Genomic DNA, 20,274 nt, shown 5'->3' on the forward strand with positions numbered 1-20,274 from the left:
TCAGGTGTTCTGGAGAGCTCCCCAGGAGCCTGGGCACATTTGCTCTGTGGCCTCAAGACCCATCCCATAAGGCCCCTTCTGCCAGGCCTTGGGCAAGCTGTCCACTCCCTGGGGCTGTTGCCTGGTCTGTAAAATCCAGATCTCCATTCAAAAGCTGGAAGAGGCTTTCCTAGGCCCCCAATCTAAGTAGCCACGTAGTCCTGCCTTCCTTTCTTCATAGCACCTCTCGCTCTTTGATATTATACTATTTATCTGTTTACTTGTTTTTTTTATCTGAATGCTATTAATCCTATCCACACCAAATGTGAATCTTCAGTTCATTCATATAATAAGTATTTATGTCTCAGTCAATGTTCTAGGAACTGGGTATTTAGCAGTGAACAAAACAATCATCATCACTATCCTTCTAGAGCTTACATTCTTGGGATGGCAGCCAATAAATAATGTAAATAAAATATTCAGAATATGCCAGATAGTGACAGTGGTAACTGATGAGGAGACATCAGGCAGAGAGGAGGGCTAAAGAGTGTCGGGAGGTTGGGGTGCAGTTTTATACGGGTGATCAGGAAAGGTCTCACTGAGGACTCACTTGGAGACAGCCCCAAAGGCTGGGAGCCATGAGGACATCTGGGGTGGGCAGCCCAGGCAGTGGAAGCCACACGTGCAGATTCCCAGAGGTGAGAGTGAGCCTGGCATGCTCCAGGGTCAGCAGGGAGGCCCAGGTGGCTGGAGGACAGCAAAGAGGGGTAGGGGGTGAGGTCAGAGAGGTCACAGGGTCTGGGACCAGGGAAGGACTTGGGCTTTAACCTGCAGAAGCTGGGCACCCATGGAGGGTGTGAGCAAGGAAGGAAGTGGTGGCAGGGGCATTTTTAAAGGCTCCTTCCTGCTGCTAGGTGGAGAGGAGACCACAGTGGGTAAGAGTGGCATCGAATCTGGGAGATGATCCGGCATCTCTGGCAATCATCCCGACAGTGGGTGACAGCGCACAGAATCAGCGTGGAAGCGGGAGGGTTAGAGACGATGAATTAAAAGGCACCTGACACAGTGCTGGTGCACAGTAGGACCTCAGGCGATGGTAGCTATGATGATCCGCATATGGAAAGTCCTAGGAGCCATGAATTGGAATCTCCCGGCTGCCTGACCTCACCTGAGTTCATTTCTCTCGAGGGGGTGGAAAGTCAAGCCCTTGGGCTGTAAAAAGAAATGACCCATGAAGCTGAGCAAGGAGGAAGTCTCCTGCACTGGAGAAAGACAGGAGGGCAGGATTATAACAGTGATGAAATGTTAACATTTCACATGTTCAACACAAGCTTAAATTACACGCATTCAGATCGTTTCTGAGGGAAAGGTAATCTTTAAAAGCTATTTTCTTTTTCATGGTAAAAAAAAAAAAAGATACATAAAAAAGGTTAAGCAGCAAACTAAGTATGTGGTAGCTTGAATTTTCTCAAATGAAACCCTTTCTTCCTGTAGTATATTCATTTGATGGGACTTTGAACTAGATGTAATGCCACATCCATACAGAAGACAGATCACATCACGTGTTTTCTTTTGGAGAGAAACTGACAGCCACTTTAGGTTTTCAAAAATACAGCTTTTAAGCCGTGGAAGTAATTCTAAAAAGAAAACAAACAAACAAAAAGCAGCCTCAGGGCAAATTAGCCTCCAGCTGTGGAAATCCAGGTTGCTGCCTGTTAGCTTTTGATCTTGGAGAGAGTATCTGGCAAGCAAAGCAAGCAAAGTTGAAGGAGACCCCAGGGAGCTGCCAGACAGAGGCTGCAGAGACCCCAGGGGTGCTGGGCTGGGACTCCTGGGTGGCTGTGCCACAACCAGCGGGGCACCTTGAGCCCATTGTCTCGCTCTGTGCCTCAGTTTCTCCAGTGTTTAGAACAATGGGGTTGGACTCATCATTCTCTGAAATTCCTTCCAGGTTTACATTTTTAAATTAGTCAAAGTTCAAGGACAATAATGAGGGGCAGTGCAGGGAAATGGAATCCTGGTGAGTTGAGGATTATGTAATTTAAGGAAAAAAAGTGAGGAAATACACCATCCTGTCTTTCCCATGGTGACAATGACTCACTCCCACATAAATGGAAAGATCAGAGTTTGCTAAACATCTTCCCACCCATTGTCTCCTTTAATCCTCCCCATAATTCTAGGAGGTGGATCTTTTCACTCAATTCATCACTGTGGAACCTGAGACTCAGAGAGGTGAGGGACCTGTCCGAGGTCACCCAGGATGGGAACTGCAGGTCTCCGGGCTCCAGAAGACATGTTCTCTCCCTACTCCAGATGCCTAAGTGCTGAGTCCTTGAAATACAAAATGAGGGACGTGAGGCTGCTCTGCCCCTTTCTGAAGAGGCCCCCAAAGCTGAGGCTGAGAGGAACTGCAATGTGGGCTTGCAGAGAGCTGGCATTGCTCTCCCAGGGCCGTCACAGAAAGCTGCTTGGGCCTGAGACCACAATGAGACACCTCACTCTTTTTTCTGGGTCTAGGCAGGGACTCTCTGGGAGATGAGGTCTTCAAGGCCAACACCTGTGCGGTTGGCTGCTGGGAGAATCACCATCCACAACCCCTCTAACCCTGGGATCAGGGACCCCAAAAGAGGGGCACGTTTGCCTGTAGAAGGTGGACCCCAGCCCACATGCTGGGGAGGAACACGGACATGCACCACCTCAGGGTCACCTTTGGAGTTTGCCTCTTCCAGACCCACTCACATTGACCCACTGTAGCCTGATCCCAGTGTCCTGAGCTGAGTGTCTTCCACACAGTGGGTGCACACGGGAGCTGAGGCAGATCGGCAAGGCAGCGAAGATCATCTTGTCTGTTTTTGGAGCCCAAAACCAATCTCAAAATAAAATATTTCATCAACAATTGATGACCAAACCCTTCCTTTGACACATCACCATTTCTTGCTTACACCCTGTGCCGGGTTGGGAGGTGCAGTGAGATGGAAGCCATGGGAAAAGGGTGTCAGCCTGCTGTGGCCCCAGGCGAGATTCGTGGAGGCGAGAATCACCCTGGGTCTTCTGCCCCCACCCCAGGCCCTTTCCAGCCAATCTCTATTTCTAACTGCCATATGTCTTCTCAACTCAAACTCAACATGTCCAAAACTCTACCTGTTCAAAACAGCTCATCATCCTTCCATTCCAGCCCACCCCTTGCCTGAATCCCCAGCCACCAAGATTGACACCACAGCCTTCTCAGTCACCTGGGCTTGGAAGTTCAGCATCCCCATAAAATTCAGTTCCATTTACAAGTCACTTACTAGGTGCCATAGCCATTGCTAATCTCCCAAATGTCCTCTAAGATGTGCCTTCTTGCCCACATTTTACAGTTATGGCAGACGCTATTGATGTCCCAGCCACAGCCCTGGCCCCACCCTATTAGTCCAGGCCTGACTTCTAAGGATCAGCTCCTGAAATTCATTACCTGAAGGCTTTCTAAGCTCACTCTGACCTCCTATGGGGCAGGTCAGAAGGGCCAGGGAATTAACACTCCTGGCAATAGCCTTCAATCAGGGACCAGCAGGAACTGGGGTGTTAATGCCCGTGTTCCCTTGATCTTCAGGCAGGATCACTCTGAGACATGTGTTCTGTGTCCCAGACTTTTCTCAGCAGAATTAAGCCCTGAATACCCACAGGATGGGAAGACAGCCAGGCCAGACCAGGCCCAGAAGACATCATCCAGAGTGGCCTGAGGATGTGTCACCAGGACAAAAAGACAAGATCAAGGCTGGAAGGCACTAACGGCAGGACCCGGGGGAAGGGAGACCTGCACCAAAGCCCTGGAGAGGGGCAACATCTTGGAAGGAGGACTGAGGAGCTGGGCCAGAGGGACCGGAGACAGATCACGTTCGACGCAAGGTCATGGGGAGTGTGGGTAGCTCAGGGGCAAGTCCGTGGGCAAAGGTGAATCCCACACAGTGGAATAATCATTCTGGAAAGCCGTCAGTATCTACTAAAGCTGAATTTCTGCATGGCCTTTACCCGGCAGCTCTGCCCCTAGGTAAATGCCCCACAAGAATGCCTTCACCTGCTCATCGAAAGAATGTTCATCATGAGATTGTCCATGTTTCCATCTAGGATAAATAAATAATTGTATTTTCATAGCGGAGAGCACTACCAACCAATAAGAATAAATAATGTACAACTTAATGCAACAGCATGGATGAGTCTCAGGATCATAGAGCTGCTCAAAGGGACTGCATATGTAGGAACACAGACGGTGTGAGTCCACTTGTTCAAAGTTCTAGAACAAGACCGGGCACGGTGGCTCACGCCTGTAATCCCAGCAATTTGGAAGGCTGGGACGGCGGATCACTTGAGGTCAGGAGTTCAAGAACAGCCTGGCCAATGTGGTGAAACCCCATCTCCACTAAAAATACAAAAAAATTAGCCGGGCGTGGTGGCACTCACCTGTAATCCCAGCTAGTCGGGAGGCTGAAGCAGGAGAATCGCTTGGACCCATGAGGCAGAGGTCACAGTGAGCTGAAATCGCACCACTGCACTCCAGCCTGGGCAATAGAGCCAGACTCCATCTCAAACAACAACAACAACGTTCTAGAACAGGCACAGGAAGTCTATACTGTTAGAAGTCAGCAGTGGTTACCCATAGAGGGCAGTGACCAAGGGAGAAGGCCCGGGGGGGTTCTGAGGTACTGGAATGGCTGTTTGCAGAATTGTGACCTGTGTGCTTTTCTTCTTATACAGTATGTTACACTACTATAAAACCTTACTTAAAAGGTCCTAGGGCTTTTGTTACCAAAGGCCCAGAATGTGCAGGATGGACACGTATGGAATCACATTGGAACAGACACACCCAATCCACGCTATTACCAGCAATCTACATACAACTGAACGTTGTATGAATGAATGAACAAGTGTGTAAACTCATAAACAAGAAACATAAATGATGAATGAATGCATGAAAGAGATAGTGAATGAATGAGTACATCTGGTAGTGAGTGAATGAATGAACTCATGAAATCAGAGATGACAAAATGCATTGCTGGTGAGTACTGAGTGCACAATGACAACAGAAGGAAGAATGAATGAATGAAAGGACAAATGATGGAAGGAGGAGTGGAGGAAACAGAGCGAAGGAAAGAAGAAATTAACATGAATACATGTGGTCAATGGATGCAGGAAATAATCATAAAGAAATAAACAAAAGCTATTTGAAGAGGTGAATCATAAGAGCCCGTAAGTGAACAAGTGAGTGGATGTTTGGACACAGATGGAAAAGCATGCGGGTGCCCCGACAGACAGGAGGGGAAGGCAAGTCAAAGGGCAGCAAAGCCCCCAAAGTCCAAAGAAAGTGTCTCTGCCCAGACATGCAGGCCAAGACCCTGGCGACTCGGTGCAGAAGTTCCCAAGGAGCCCTCATGTCGGCTGTAAAGGAACACTATTTAACAAACACCGGTGGAAGCTTCGGAGGATGCTACTCAACAGGATTAACTCCAGTTCTGCGGAAACAGCTAAAGAGAATTGACTGCATTGTTTTCCCAATTAGGCCAAAGATAATTACCTATTATGTGGCAACCCCCTGGCATGATTTTAATAATCACTATTTAAATAGCACATTTTTACTGTCTCCTTGCAAATTACCCTCCGGGAGGTATAATTAATGTCCGTGTGGGAAGCTTGGCCATGTGGCCTGGGAATGAGGATGGGTTGAAGCTGTGGCTGTGATCGCCCTGTGGTATCCGGAGGCCAGGTGATGCTGAGGCCGGAGCTCAGGTTTGGGGACTCAGAAAACCTGGGTCCAGGACATCAGACAAGTCTCTCCCCATCTGGGCCTTGGTCACCTTCTCTGTAAAACTAGGATGGTTCCTAAATTCCCAAACTCACTAGGACATTAGGAGACCTCACTCTAGGCCTGAAACAGGGTCAGCATTAGACACACACACACACACACACACACACACACACACACACACACACACTCCCCATCATGTCCTCACCACAAGGGCACATGTCTCACTGTGAGAGGGGTCTTCTCTTGATGTGTTTCCCCAGACTGAGTGTGGGGACTGATTCCCGCTCCTCAGTGCATCTCGGCAGCAGCACCGGGCCTGGCACATAGTAGGTGCTCCGTAAGCACTGGCCCAGGGAATGAATGAATGATCTTAGTGTATAGTGCATGTTTTAGGAGCTGCCCCGAGTCCCTTTCAGAACAACTGTAGTTTGATAAACAGGTGCCTCTCACCGCATGTCTTCATGTCACTTGTCACTTCTCCAGCCATCCCTTGCTCCCTTGACTCTCCCGGTGTCCACCTATCTCGACCCCTCCTGCCGTGTGCTGCCTGTAACACCGGGTGGGCCTGGGAAGCATGGAAACAAGCAGGGGGCTTGGGAAGAAAGTGAGAATCGATGGCTCTGAATGGGGCCATGGGGTCTGCGCTGAGTGAAAGCCCAGGAAGAGACAACGCGTCTCCGGGTCTCCACATCGACCCTGATGCCACCGACATTGACAAGAGGTCAGCCGGTGGATCTCACCCTGCAGGGCTGATGGGTGGAGTCTTGCCTGGAGGGGCTGGGGAGGATCCAGGTCCGTTGACAAGGACTCGATGCTGCCCTGCTGTCCCTCGTGTGGACTGAACGCTGTGATTCGGGTCTGCATCTGTGATTCTGGGATTTCTTCCTGCTCCTAGATGTCTGTTTTCCTAAATAACCCATCCCATTCAACTATCTTCTTGCTCTAAGGTAGTGGAAACCGCGCCTACCTGGGTCCCACCTGCAGAGGATGAACAGCCCCTCGTCACTCACCTGTGTCTGACCCTGCTGATGCTTTGCTTCTCTGCCCTGCACCCACTTCTTCCAGCTTGGGTGACAGTCACACCTCCCCAGTCAGGCCTGATGGGATTGGCCCAGGCAGGGGTGCAAGAGAGGGAGGAGGCCAGTCTGAGAGGGAGGCAGGCGCCCACTGCAAGGGGCCCGGATTTCCATGGCGAGGAGCATGGACTTCATCCCGTGAGCAGCGAGGACAGGCAGAGAGAGCACAACAGACAGCTCTGTGGCTAAACTTAGCAGATTCCATGTCCAGGACCCAGGAACCTGGAGGTAGCCCTGGTGGGCCCAGGGAATCATGTGATCATGAGTTACCTTGGGGTCTATCACCTGTAGCACCCCCAGTGGTTCCAGGGCCAACATGTCTCCCCACCTTGGCTGATGGCATTGGGCGCAGAGATGCAGTGACTGCCCCAGCCAGTCATCTGCACAGGTTCTGTCCAGCAGGGCCATTCTGACTTGGATTCCCCAAAACCCTCTGCTCTCCCGTAGCAAAGTCCAGCCTCAGGGGCCACCCCAGCATGTCCCCCAGGAACTAGATCAAGGGAACTCCGCTCACCTTCATGAACAGCCAAGGACACCCCAGGCCACCTGTGAGTGGGGGAGCCACAGGTGACCCGACTCCTCCTCTGTTTGCCATGTTCTTCAAATTATCCTTGATCATCACAAATTGCCCCTAAAGATATAGGAAGAAGTTATTTGTTTAAAAAAAGAAAGAGACAGAAATAGGCAGAGGTAGCTCCTATAAAATCAGATCAAGTTTCCTTCTACACAATTAAACACAGGCATTTAAAATGCTCTTTCCCACAAAGCACTGGCCCCTGTTAGAGAGGATTATTTGATAATGAAGGGACTGGAGGTTTCTGGAAATGTAAAGAGCAGAAGAACCAGGGGCTTCAGAGCTACACAGACCTGGATTTGAGTCTCAGTCAAGCCACATCCTTGGGCAGGTTCACTTCACCTCCCAAACCTCCCTTCCTCATTTCTGACATGATAGATGACATTGCTCTCAGAGGCTTGTAGGGTGTGTTTAAGTCAGGGTTTCCCAGCCTCAGCATTTTTGACATTTGGGGCCAGGTCATTCCTTTTGGGCAGGCTGCCCCACATGTGGCAGGATACACGTCCTCTGCCCACTAGATGCCAGCAGCACCGTCCCCCCAACCCCTTCCCCAGTTGCCGCAGCCAAAAATGTCTTCAGACATTGCTAAATTTTCCCTAAGGGGAAAATCAACTCCGGTTGAGAACTACCACTTTAAATGCAGAAATGTGAGTTAAAAGGTGCAGTTTCTGGGATATTTCAAACATTCAAACAGTGGTGGTTGTTACTGAGACTAAGTGAAAGGTACAGCAGAGGCTGCTGGGAGAGATGCTTCTCGCCTTTTTGTCCCTTTGGAAATTTCCTGATGGACTGCTTGAGCCACCTAGATAATCTCTTATTCTGATAAACTGAAGCTTGGCTGCAGAAAGCATTGCCGTCAAAAGAGGGAAAGAAAAAAGACACTCACACCGTGACGTCCATAAAATTCATTTCCTATCCAAGACCCTGGGAGCAAGGGGGTGAAGGCAGCTGCTTACCATGCCTGTGGCCTCTGCACCAAGGACTGGACAGGCAGTGTCTCACTGTGTCCCCACAACAGCTGCAAAGGGGCGTCATCCTCCCACTGTACACATGAGGAAACTGAGACCCAGAGTGGTGATGTCACTTCAATGACAGATTTTTACTGAGCACTTACTGCCTGGGACCCAGCAGTGACTAAGACAAAGTCCCTGCCCTCATGGAGCTGGTGTTGTGGTAGGGAGATGCAGATCATAAGAGATGAGGACATAAAATATGTCAGACAGCAGTAAGTGCTAAGGACACAAAGCTGGAAGTCAGGGGCCTCGTTTGTCCTGATGAAAAGCTTGCTCCTGTCCTGACACTATGAAGCCAGCACATCCGGTCCTTCTCAGAGCTGCTTTCTGCTGGGGAGGCTCCCGGCATGAAGAACATTGTGTGGGAATAATGGATGCATGAAGTAGGACCCAAGGACCCTTCATTTATTCATTCATTCATTCATTCATTCATTCATTCATTCATTCCCAGGGCCCAGCCCTGGGTATAAATCAGTGAAACCAGACAGACAAGCCCCTTCCCACAGCTCACACCCCAGCCGGGGCATGAAGCCTACAAGTCAGTGCAGATCAGCAAGGTGACACCAGCTCGTCGCTTCCCTAAGCCTCGGGCTCCTTGCCTGTGCAACAGAGGTGAGAGCAGTGAACACCAGCCAGCATGGGTCATGATAATAGCAGGAGCCACCGCTCATTGACTGGACGCCCTGTGCTGGGAACACTGCCGACGGCTCGCACACCTCATCTCTGCCCAGCCTCGTGACTGCCCTGTGCACCATAAGACACAGATGAGGAAACTGAGGCCCAGAGAGGTGACTTCAACTGGTCAAGGTCATAGGGTCAACAGGTGGCTTCAGGATCAGAAGACTCCAGCTGTGTCCAGGCTCAGCCATTCCCCAGCTGCGTGACCTCGGCAAGCCTCTCACCTAGAAGCCTCGGTTTCCTAATCAGCAAAATCTTCAGCAAAGTGAAGATGACAGTGGCCCTGCCTCATGGGGCTGTTGGGAGGGTTATGTGAGATGGCATATGGGATGCACTTAGGGCTGTAGCTGGTGCAGACTCACATAGTAATAGTGCTAGCAACCCGCCCTTGTGTGGTGCCTGCTGAATTCGATCCTCATGATAGCTCTTAAATGGAACGTGCTATTATAACCCTTTAACAAAACGTGCTATTCTCTCCAGTTTACCGATGAGGAAATCAGGGTCAGAGAGGTGATGTCATTAATTAAGTCGTTTGCCCAGTGACACACAGATGTGAAAGGCAGAGTTCAGGATGCTACCTTCTTATTTTGTGCTGTCAATGGCAAGGATTTTTGTGTTGACTTTTGCTTTTATTCTTTGTGTGTGTGTGTGTTTCTGCTTGGCTCACTTCCTGACGCCCATGCATATTGATCAGGTTTTGTTTATTCTCTTTTCCCTCTACTGGCTTGGAAATTACATTCTATTCTCTTCTTTAATTGATCAGCTTAAAAATCATAATAAGCACACTTGACTAACACAGTCTAAAGTAAATCAATATCTCTCTCCTCCCTCAGAACCACGCAGTCTTTAGAATGCATTAACTCTGATCTCTCTCTCCACCTCAAAGCTATGCAACCCCGACCCGTGCTTCCATCTTCCACTATATACCCACAATCGTTGGGATTATTATTGCTGTTGCTGCTGTGTTTATGTCCTATGGTCAGCCCCAAATTGACCCATTCTTTCCTTCACTACTGCTGGTTTGATTCCTTCCTTGTTTCTTCAGGCAACATCTTTCCACCTGAGTGATTTTTTTTTATTAGTTCTCTTAACAAGGGCCTCTGAGTGTGTCTTAGCCTGAAAATGTCTTTCCTCCTCACTCAGCTTGGCATGATAATTTATCTGGGTCTAGAATTCTACTTTGCTTATTTCATGTGACACTAAAAATATGATTCCCTGGCTTTCTGTCTCATGTTGCTCTGAGAACCTGCTGCCTGCTCCTCCTTCCTTGGTAAGTAATCTGTCTTCTCTCTGGCAGCTTTTAAGAAACCTCCTCTTTTCTTGGTGTTCTACATTTTCACTACAGTGCTTGCTCCATCGTAGTTTTAATTGGGTGCATCCTGCTGGGGATTCATAGAGATGATTAAAAGGGAAGAGTCACTGGTCCATGGGCTGGAGGAAGGACGTTTGCCAAAAAAATATCAGCATGCTGTTGATATTAATACCAATTAATGAGCATTACAGCTAACAGAAGTGACTTGAAGGGTTTACTATGTGTCAAGCACTATTATAAGTGATTTGGATATATCAACTTATTTTATCCGCTCCCCCCCACCCCGTTTTTTTTTTTTTTTTTTTTTTGAGACAGAGTCTTGTTCTGTCACCCAGGCTGGAGTGCAGCGGCACAATCTTGGCTCACTGCAATCTTCACCTCCCAGGTTCAAGCGATTCTCCTGCCTCAGCCTCCTCAGTAGCTAGGATTACAGCACATGCCACCACGCCCAACTAGTAGAGATGGAGTTTCGCCATGTTGGCCAGGCTGGTCTTGAACTCCTGACCTCAGGTGATCCACCTGCCTCAGCTTCCCAAAGTGCTGGGATTAAAGGCATAAGCCACCGTGTCCAATCTTATTTTATCCTTAAACTGCCTCATATGGAGAGTACTAGTGTTTTCACCATTTTACAGGTGACAAAACTGAAGCACAGAACAGAGAGTTCCCTAGAGGAAGGGAACTGCCGATGGGGTGGAGGTAGCACGGACTAAGGAGTTGGGCAGGTCAGAGTTCAGATGTGTGTTTGGTCCCTCATCGTCTGTGTGGCCATAAACGAGTGACTCCAACTTTCTGAGCCTCAGTTTCCTCCTCTGTAAATTGAGGGAGAGAGGGATGGGATCTGATCCCAACAGGACCTGGGTGTGGCTGAAGAGGCAGGACGCCCATCTCCATCCCTGGAGCTGGAGTCAGTGCCATGTCCCTGTGATGGTGCCGGGCACATCCTGGGATGGGGTCGCCTGGAGAAGGAGGAGGGCTTCCTAGTGAGAGAGGGCTTGGCTGGGCCGCCTCTGGGAGTCTCTGGGGCACAGCGAGACCAGGGACCAGTCCCAGTGTCACTTCTGGGGCCCATGCTCCACCTGGCAGGGAGCAGCGGACACTCAATGCCAACACAGAACCTCTGTCTGCAGAGGAGACCAGACCTCCCAACGCAAAGGTCTCCTCGATTACTTTTTAATGAAACCATGCTGCGTCCAAGCTGAAATTATATTGTCAGCAGTTAATTATCACTTGTCAAACAAGAGTGTGCCCGGATTATGGGTTTAATTTCCACCTAGCTTTGCAAAAGCCTCGTTCCCCTCATTTGATGAGGCCTCTAGGAATGTGTCTGAGAGAGACACACACATTCATTGCTGGAAAGAGTATTTTTTTTAAAAACCAGTTTTTTAAATAAACAGGTTTCCTCGGTGTCTGAGTCAGGGCTCTTTGCAAGCAACAGAAAAACACTAAGAGTAGTTTAAGGAAAAAGAAAGAAGTGTGTGGAGGTTGTCATAGGTTCAGGGATGTTTGGTGGAACCCTGGGCCTGATCAGGGACTGAAACTGGGAAAGTAGAAAGTTTTATTATTATTATTTGAGGCAGGGTTTCACTCCCGTCAGCCAGGTTAGAGTGCAACGGTGCCATCTCTGCTTACTGCAAACTCCATCTCCATGGCTCAAGCGATTCTCCTGCCTTAGCCTCCCAAGTAGCTGGGACTACAGGCACATGCCGCTGCGCCTGGCTAATTTTTTGTATTTTTATTTTTTTTCTTTTTTGTAGATACAGGATTTCACCATGTTGACCAGGCTGGTCTCGAACTTCTGAGCTCAAGCAATCCTCCTGCCTCAGCCTCCCAAAGGGCTAGGATTACAGGCGTGAGCCACCACGCCTGGCCTGGGAAAGTAAGTTTCTCAAAGTGAGTGTGGTCAAGGAGAAGAAGGCATCCATCCATGCCACTCCCCTGCCAGGTGGTCAGAGCCACCAGGTGGAGGGCAGTGACTTGTGAGAGGGGAAACCTGGGAGAGGGGAGGTGGCCTGGGCAGAGTTGGGTGCCTTCACTTGGGGGGCCTGAGAGTCATGCAGGAGGAGGTCTTGGGAGGCAGCTGGGTGGCTCAGTGTGGAGCTGGACAAGAGTCCCTTGCAAAGACAAAATGTTGACCAATCAAGCCCAGGCCTCACTCCTCCAATCAAATGAACATGGGGGTGCCATTTCTGGCTTGCGCAAAGGGAAAGCCACAGCGTCCTAATCTCCCTGTGCACCTGCAGGGAGGCTTTCTTGGTTGTACCCTGGTGGCAGTGGCTGCATCCCAGGCTATGGAGACAAAGGTCAGGGAGTCCCTGATGATGAGGAGGAGGCAGTGGAGGCAGTGGATGGTGATGAGGAGCCACCAGGGGAGGGGAGGCTCAGGGGGCGCTGGGCTGTCAGGGCATTCCCTGCATTCCTGGGGCCTGTGTCAGCCCAGCATGAACCCAGCTTGGAGCTCAGCAAGCAGAGGAGGGCGGCATGCTAAGTAAAGCCTCCTGGAGATGCCAGCTCCCCATCAAATTGCAAGATTCCCAGCACTGGCAATGGTGTGGGGGGGAGATGAGGCTCCCCGGCCTCATCTTGCCCTTCCTGGAACACTCTGGAGCAGCCGCACACCTCCACAAGGGCAGGGCCAGGTGGGAATCCCAAGCCAACCCTCATTAGCTGGGGGCAGCTGGGCACGGCAACGAGCCAGGCCAGGCCAAGCCTGTGAGCTCAGGTGAAACACAAGGGTGTCCCTAGAACCAGCTTCCTTGGGCTGCCTTGAGAAATAATGAGACAGTCCCTTGTTTAGGACAGCATCTTACCCGTAGGACATCGTCAGGGCTGAAGTCACTTGCTTTCTCAGCAAATAGGCATTGGGCATTTACTGTGGGCATTCGCTGTCCTAGGCAGTGGGAGAAAGCTCAGAACCAAACAAAGCCCCTGTGTGGGGAGCTCAGGTCTAGAAGGAGACAGACACGGAGCATCAGACGGGGGCTGCAGGGTGCATAAGAGCTTCGGAGGGAAAGGAAGCAGGAGAGGGGCAGGTGATGGGTCACACTTGTAAATAGTTGGTTACGGAGATGCCAGCTCCCCACCAAAGTAGCAAGATTCCTAGCACTGTCAATGGTGTGGGGAGAAGGTTAGGGAGGGCTCTCAGAGCAGGTGACACTGGGACAAGAACCTGAGGAGGAAAGTGAGGGAGTGGGTAGACATGGGAGAGGTTCCAGCTGAGGAAAGCACAGGGACGGAGGCTGGAGGCAGGAACTGTGAGGACCACGGGTCCAGGAAGGAGCAGAGGGGGCTATAGGGGAGCAGAAGGAGGGGGTGAGATGGGCCAAGTGGGGGTGAAGCTGGGGACTGTTGGGCCGGGGCCACTGTCAGCTTGGATGTACCCAGTGAGGCAGGAGCCTGGGGTGTCCAGAGCAGAGCAGAGAGGGCTCCACCTTGAGTCTCACAGGGTCACAGGGGCTGCTGTGCGGGGAGTGAGTAGAGCCAGGGACCCATCAGGAGGCTACTGCACCAGTCCAAGCATGATGACCTTGGGATCTGGGTGGGAGCCTGGAGAGGGAGAGAAGATTGGACCTGGATTTACATTAAGATCAAGCTAATGGGACATAAGGGTTATTCGCTCCATAAATATTAGGCATCATTAGTTTTTAAAACTTTGTAATATTCCACTCATCATCTCCTTATAGCAGGCTATTTTAAACTTTGTTGTTTCCAAGAGATTTGTTTGTTATTGCATCATGTTCTAACCTATCTAGACAGTCACACCCATTTGAAAGCAGTTATGAAAATATGTACTTGTATATGAATAGAAAAAGAAATGAAGAAAGGTATTAATATGTAAAAACTACTATCTCCGGAAGGCAAGATACCAGATGAATTATATACTCTCTTGTATAAACGCCTGCACTTGCCAAATGCTTCACAGTGAGGATGCATGGTTATGTTAAGGGGAAAGATCAATGTCATTAACACCTGGGCCCTGGCCGAGGCCATCCTCATCCCAGGCTGCATTTTTCTCTCCTTCTTCTCAGGCTCCTGGTCCATTAGCACCTGTCCCCCGCAATTATCCTTTTATTACTGATCATTTTGTTCTCTGTCTGCCCTGCATAATTTAGCACAGTTATATACTGCCTTGTTGCCAAACGTTTAATTTAATGTCTCTTGGCCTCAATTTCTTCATCTCAAAGTGCAGTAGTGGCAAAAAGGGAGAACTTTAGAGGCTGCTCAACACCAACGCTCCTTCAAATCCTGGAAGAATTGAAGCTAGCACTGTCTTGGCACTTACTGTGTGGCAGGCACAGTGCTAAGCACTTTTCATGCATTAGTTTACTTAATTATTTCAACAACTCCATGAAGGAGACCCTGTTGTCATTCACCCCTCTCCTCTATTTTAAAGATGAAGATACCAAAGTTCAGAGATGATTAGGAATTTTCCAAGATCTCACAGCTCAGAAGTGACGGAGCCAGACTTTAAACCCAGGCAAACTGCTTCCGGGTCCCTGCTCTTCCTGCTCCGGTGAGCCTCAAGTCTTTACTATGCCCGGACCCTGTGCCAGGGGCTTGATACATAAAGACAAGATAGGGTGTTTGCCTACAAGTAGAATAATAATAATAATAAGTATAGCAATGCCAGTTAGCATACATTGAGAGCTCTCTTTCCTGGAGTCCCCGCAGCATCCTACGCAGTAGAGACTCCCAATCTCTATGTGAAGGATGAGGATCCAAGGAACAGAGACACTGTGTTTTGCTCAGAGTCCCACCCACAAGTATGCACTAAAATGTCACTTGAGCCCAGGAATCTGCCTCCAGCTGATGTACCCTCGTCACATCCTCGCAATAGCTCTAGGTGGTCAATAGTGTGTGTCCATTTATAGAGGGAAAAACCGATGGGGCTCACAGAGGTTCAGCCACTTCCCAAGTCACATGTTGAGTGAGGGCTGGAGGCTGAATGTGAACCCAAGTTAGTGGGGCCTGGGGCTCATTTTCTTCTAACTATTCCAATGGTGAGGGACCCAGAGGGGCCAGGGCCCTCCAGTTGCTGGAGGAGCTGCCCACCTGGACAGCCATGGGGCCAGAGAACCACGGTCCTGACACAACTGAACCGCAAGACTAAGAATCCTCACTGAGCTTGCTACTTGTGTTGCCACATTTACTTCTAGCCCCTACGCAATAAGGTAGATGCTACTACTATCCTCAGCTAACATATGAGGGGACTGAGCTCAGAGGGCTTAAGTGAGCTTCCCGACCTCTAACAGCAGGTAAGTGGAAGAGCCAGGGCTGGAAACCTGTGTAGGCCAAAGCCTGTGGTTTAACCAGGAGGCTATACTGCCTTCCTCCCCTGTGCCCAGGGCTTGGAGACCATTAACCGGAACCAAGTCACCAGGGTGACTGGTGGCAGTCTCTCTAGCAAGTGTTTGTCCTAAATCCGGTAGGAATCTGTCATCTAGCATGATTGTTTTAATTCCCAGGAAGACTGGGCAGGCCAGCGATGGGTCAGGTCTTCATGGGACCCACAGCAGTGACAGCTGAGCCCCTCCCCCGCAGCAGGTCTGGGTTGTGGGTCGTGTGTCCCCCTTGGTGCCCAAGCTCACATTACGGTGCTGGTGAGGAGTCTCAAGCAGTTATTAAACTCTGGTGTGCCTACCAGTGTATAATTGTGGACATGGGTTTTGCATATTTTGATAAATATACAAATGTGAAATGTGTTGTCCATCACTAGCATATGCTTATGTTCCATGTTAAATGTATCTAATGTGTATTTCCCCAAAGAATGAAAGTTGCCAATTCATGACCAAGACACAGTGACACTATTGATTACACAGAATATGTTTATTCATCAACTTGGAGGAGGGCAGCCAGGATGGTGACCAATATCCCCACATCACAGGCAGGTCTGCGGCCCTGGAGCTCCAGGAGCAACAGACAACAGGGTTGGGACAGTGACTGGCCCAGCCACTGGCCTGGACCCAGGGTGGGAAGGGGTCATCTGGGCACCTGCCTGTGCCAGCTCCACCCAGGGCCCTGCAGTGGGTCAGAGCACAGCAGCTGGAATCTGAGCACCCTGGAGCCCCACCTGCCCTCACTCCACCTGGGTTCCCCTTCCTGAGCCTCAGTTTCCTCTGATGTAAAATGAGGATGAAAAGGGCTCTTTCCTCAGGTAGCTGTGAGGATTAGGTGAGCGAGTGCAAGTACAGGGTGCCCAGCACGCGTAGGAAGTGCTCGCACCTATGAACTGATATTCCTGCTATTGTCACCCCCAGGACTGTGACAGAGAGGGCACCACGGGCCACTTTACAGATGGGCCTCATCCCCGCAATAGCTGACAGGTGTTAACACCCCCACGAGCCCGGGCACCTGCACACACGACCCACGTCACCTGCATGACCTCCCTATGCAGCAGGTGCTGTCATGGTCCCCACTCCACAGGGGAGGAGGTTGAGTGCTTCCCAGATCACACAGCCCACAGGGGCGGAGGCTCAGAGCTGGATTTTCTTTCCCTACCCCAGACGCCACACTGCCGGGGGAAACTGTCAGCAAACACCAACAAGAAGGTGGTGGACACATGGGGCTGCCCCCCAGTAGACCTGCCCCTCCTCCTTCACTCACAGAACCCTGTGTTTGTTCTGCAGTCACAGGCTCAGGCCTGGGGGCCCCTCCAGCCCTGGGGTAAAGCCAAGCCAGGCACCCCATCCCCCTTCTCCAGAGATCATTTTATGGGTGAGCGTGTGGCCCAGACTTGGCCACCAAGATATGAGGGGAAATCTGTTGGTGGAGGGAGTGCTTCTGGAAAATATTTTTTTCTGCCTCACCCTGCAAACTTCTTCTTGACTTGAAGGCTGTAGCGTGAGACATGATGTTTGGAGCTGCAGCAGTCATCTTGCAACCATGAGGCAACAAGCTAAGGACAAAAAGCCCACATAGCCAAGGATGGTAAAGATGGAAGAGGGAAAGTGCTTGGGTCTTTGTCAACATCCCTGCGCATCTGACTAAGCTGCAACCACTTCTCTCCAGACGTGTGGCGATGCCAGAGCATTCTACTTTCTCATCGCTTGAGCACTGTTGTTAGGTTGTCTGTTACATGTTGCCCAACGCGTCCTAACTGAGGGAAGTGCCTGCTATGTGCCAAGCACACATCTGCCTCATAGGATCATAGCCATTTGTCCATACTTCATCTTCCCTTTTAGACTCTGGAATCCTAAAGGTGGAGATTATGTCTGGGTCACATCCCAGTCATCACATGGGGATGGGACAGTGTCCCATAGTGAAACCCAATCACCATGACTTTGACAATATGAAGGAAGGAAGGAAGGAAGGAAGGAAGGAAGGAAGGAAGGAAGGAAGGAAGGAAGGAAGGAAAGAGCAATTAACAAATAAATGATCATGGTGAATGTGGAAATGCTTTGTACCCTGTAAAGTACTGAGCCCAAAGGCAGGCTGAGACTCTGGCAGGGGGACACAGACACGGGATAGAAGGAGGTACAGGCGTAAGGAGCAGAGATCAGAGAAAAAGCGGCAGCTCCTCCCACCCCCACTTCAGCAGGGGTGAGGGCGCAGTTATCCTCCCAGATGCTCCTCCTGCTCACACAGACTTCAGGTCTGGAAAATCCCACCCACTCCCTCATGCCTCTTCTCCTTTACTTGTTGACTTTGACAGCAAATCACCTCCCTTCCTTCCCTAAACAGACAGTGAAAGGCAAAGCTTTGTGCTCTGTCATTTTCCCCCTAAAAAATTGTATGAGAAACCAAATGGTTATCATTATGCCGGCTGCAATCTGTTGCATTATTTTTTAAAGGTGGAGGAGGGGTCGGTACCAGGAGAGAAAGCAGCAGGGAGAAATGGAAAGAAACTCTTTAGGGCAAATGGCTTTAAAATTTCAGCTCCAGGTCTCACAGGGAGACTGGATTAAAGGATCATTTCAAATGAATTTTGCCATCAGAGTGAGAGATCTGTCCTCCCAAAATGCTCTACTTTGACAGTTGGCTTCAAGGGGCTTGACAGATTTTATTTCTCCAGCAGACAAGAGAGATCAAGGTATTAAACAAAACATATTCCACCCTAAGAACTCTGTTACATGCTTAACTTAATGGAAGTGAGATCTTGCCAAAACTGCGAAGTCATTTTCTTCCCCCAGGAAAATTGCTTGTGGTCGGGGAGTTGGCAGGTAGTCAGGGGCAGAGGTGTAGGTGGAAGAGTTCCTGCTTGAGACCTCCTGGGTCTGCCCTCCTGCCCTCCAGGTCGCCCTGGGGAAGCCGGCAATGGAGAGTCCTGACAGTCCAGCCTCTACCTGCTCCTTCCCTCCCGGCCTTGGTTTCTCCTCTATCACGGGGGATGGTGCCCTTTCCCGTAGAAGTTGCAATTTCGCCAGATCCAGATTTCCTGTGTCATCACATTGTATCCCTGCAACCACCCTCAAGCACCAGAAAGATTCTAGGGTTGAGCCGGGTGCAGTGGCTCACGCCTGTAATCCCAGAACTTTGGGAAACCAAGGCAGGTGGATCACTTGAGGTCAGGGGTTCGAGACCAGCCTAGCCAAAATGGTGAAACCCCATCTCTACTAAAAATTCAAAAATTAGATGGGGGTGGTGGTGAGCACCTGTAGTCCCAGCTACTGGGGAGGCTGAGGCAGGAGAATCACTTGAATCCAGAGGGCAGAGGTTGCAGTGAGCCAAGATTGTACCATTGCACTCCAACCTGAGTGACAGAGAAACTTTGTCTCAAAAAATAAAAAATAAAGAATCTGGGGTTGGCCTTAGTCACCCTCCCACTCTGACCCTCAGAGTCCTCCCCTGTAAAAACAACAGACCTGATGAGATGTACCTCCTGGAGGGGCTGTAGGTTCTAGGAACCCACAGGTGAGAGCCACAGGCAGAAAAGCACAAGGGTATGAGGACACAGATGCAGCACACACAGTAGGCCTTCAGCTGTGGCAGTGGTCCCCAGGATGCCAGATGGGCTGGGAGGACAGCAGGGGCTTTGGAGACAATCCGGGAGGAGGTGTTCATGGCAAACAGAGGCATCCAATGAACAGTCATGCTCGTACTGTCATTGTACAGGGTGAAAACGCCACCCCTGAGACAGACACCACAGGTTCAAATCCTGGATCCATTGTAACTGAGTGTCTCAGCCTTGAAATGCATTTTGAACTTATTTTTTCCTGTCCTTCTTCATCTCAGAATGTAGCCTTGTGCTTTAGAACATTTGTTTCTTCCCTACCCACCAGGTACTCCCATGAACAGTGCTCCTTATCTCATTATGTGCTGGCTTAGAAATTCCAGGGGCTAATTTTGAAACAAACCAGGCTTGCAGATCCAGCTATGAAATCAGCTTGCTTAGTGGGCTTACAAACAAGGAGACCACCACCAATAGGCAGAAGTCAAGATGATGCCAACTGGACCTCCAGGTGCTTGACTACTCAAGAAAGCCTTTGGAGCAAGACCTGCAGACCTGCACCTTCCTGCACCCCTCCCACCTGTTTCCTGTACCATGTCTCCCTTCTGAAACCATCTCACTCAGCCCAGAAAGTTGGACTGGTCTTTTAAAAGCATGAGTCTGGCCATTCCCCAATTGCTAGCTTCCAATTAATAAAACTGTTTTCCTTTCGCTGCGCCTTGTTTCTCATGTTTTCAACCTCTGAATAGGGAGCAGCTGAACTTGAGCTGGTGACACCATCGCTGACTTGCTCTGGGCCATTGGGCAGGTCCTGTTCTCTCCCTGTGCTTCAGCTTCCCCATCCGTAATCCAAGGATGATAATTATAACAGCCTTACAGGCAAGACACAGGTGATACTCACTAAGGGGTAATTAAGATGGTAATGACTATGAGGATGGCAAAGATGATGACTGACAACAGTCAGGATGATGACGAT

The 20,274-nt window shown here is 50.0% G+C and overlaps 1 long non-coding RNA gene across 2 annotated transcripts, besides 2 other annotated features; it reads left to right on the plus strand.

The window, feature by feature from the left end:
* Window positions 11,412-11,581: an enhancer, noted in NCBI's record as "experimental_6631 CRE fragment used in MPRA reporter constructs". NCBI's record gives its function as "activates a minimal promoter by MPRAs in K562 erythroleukemia cells, with activity observed for both the introgressed and non-introgressed 1:30725518 variant alleles {active_cell/tissue: K562}" and the evidence as "EXISTENCE:reporter gene assay evidence [ECO:0000049][PMID:34662402]".
* LOC105378618 (uncharacterized) lies at window positions 12,256-20,014 on the plus strand. 2 transcript variants are annotated; one of them, XR_947130.3, is made up of 3 exons: window positions 12,256-12,290; window positions 14,805-14,924; window positions 19,630-20,014. It is a non-coding gene; the product is annotated as an uncharacterized LOC105378618 (long non-coding RNA). The 2 variants fall into 2 exon arrangements; XR_947129.3 differs by lacking the exon at window positions 19,630-20,014 and adding an exon at window positions 17,244-17,335.
* Window positions 16,626-17,393: an enhancer, noted in NCBI's record as "H3K27ac-H3K4me1 hESC enhancer chr1:30730647-30731414 (GRCh37/hg19 assembly coordinates)". NCBI's record gives its function as "activates a minimal SCP1, AML or CMV promoter by ChIP-STARR-seq in primed H9 embryonic stem cells {active_cell/tissue: H9 hESC(primed)}" and the evidence as "EXISTENCE:reporter gene assay evidence [ECO:0000049][PMID:30033119]".
* Window positions 20,015-20,274: the final 260 nt, after the last annotated feature.

The sequence above is a fragment of the Homo sapiens genome, chromosome 1 (assembly GCF_000001405.40).
Source record: "Homo sapiens chromosome 1, GRCh38.p14 Primary Assembly".
Taxonomy (NCBI): domain Eukaryota; kingdom Metazoa; phylum Chordata; class Mammalia; order Primates; family Hominidae; genus Homo; species Homo sapiens.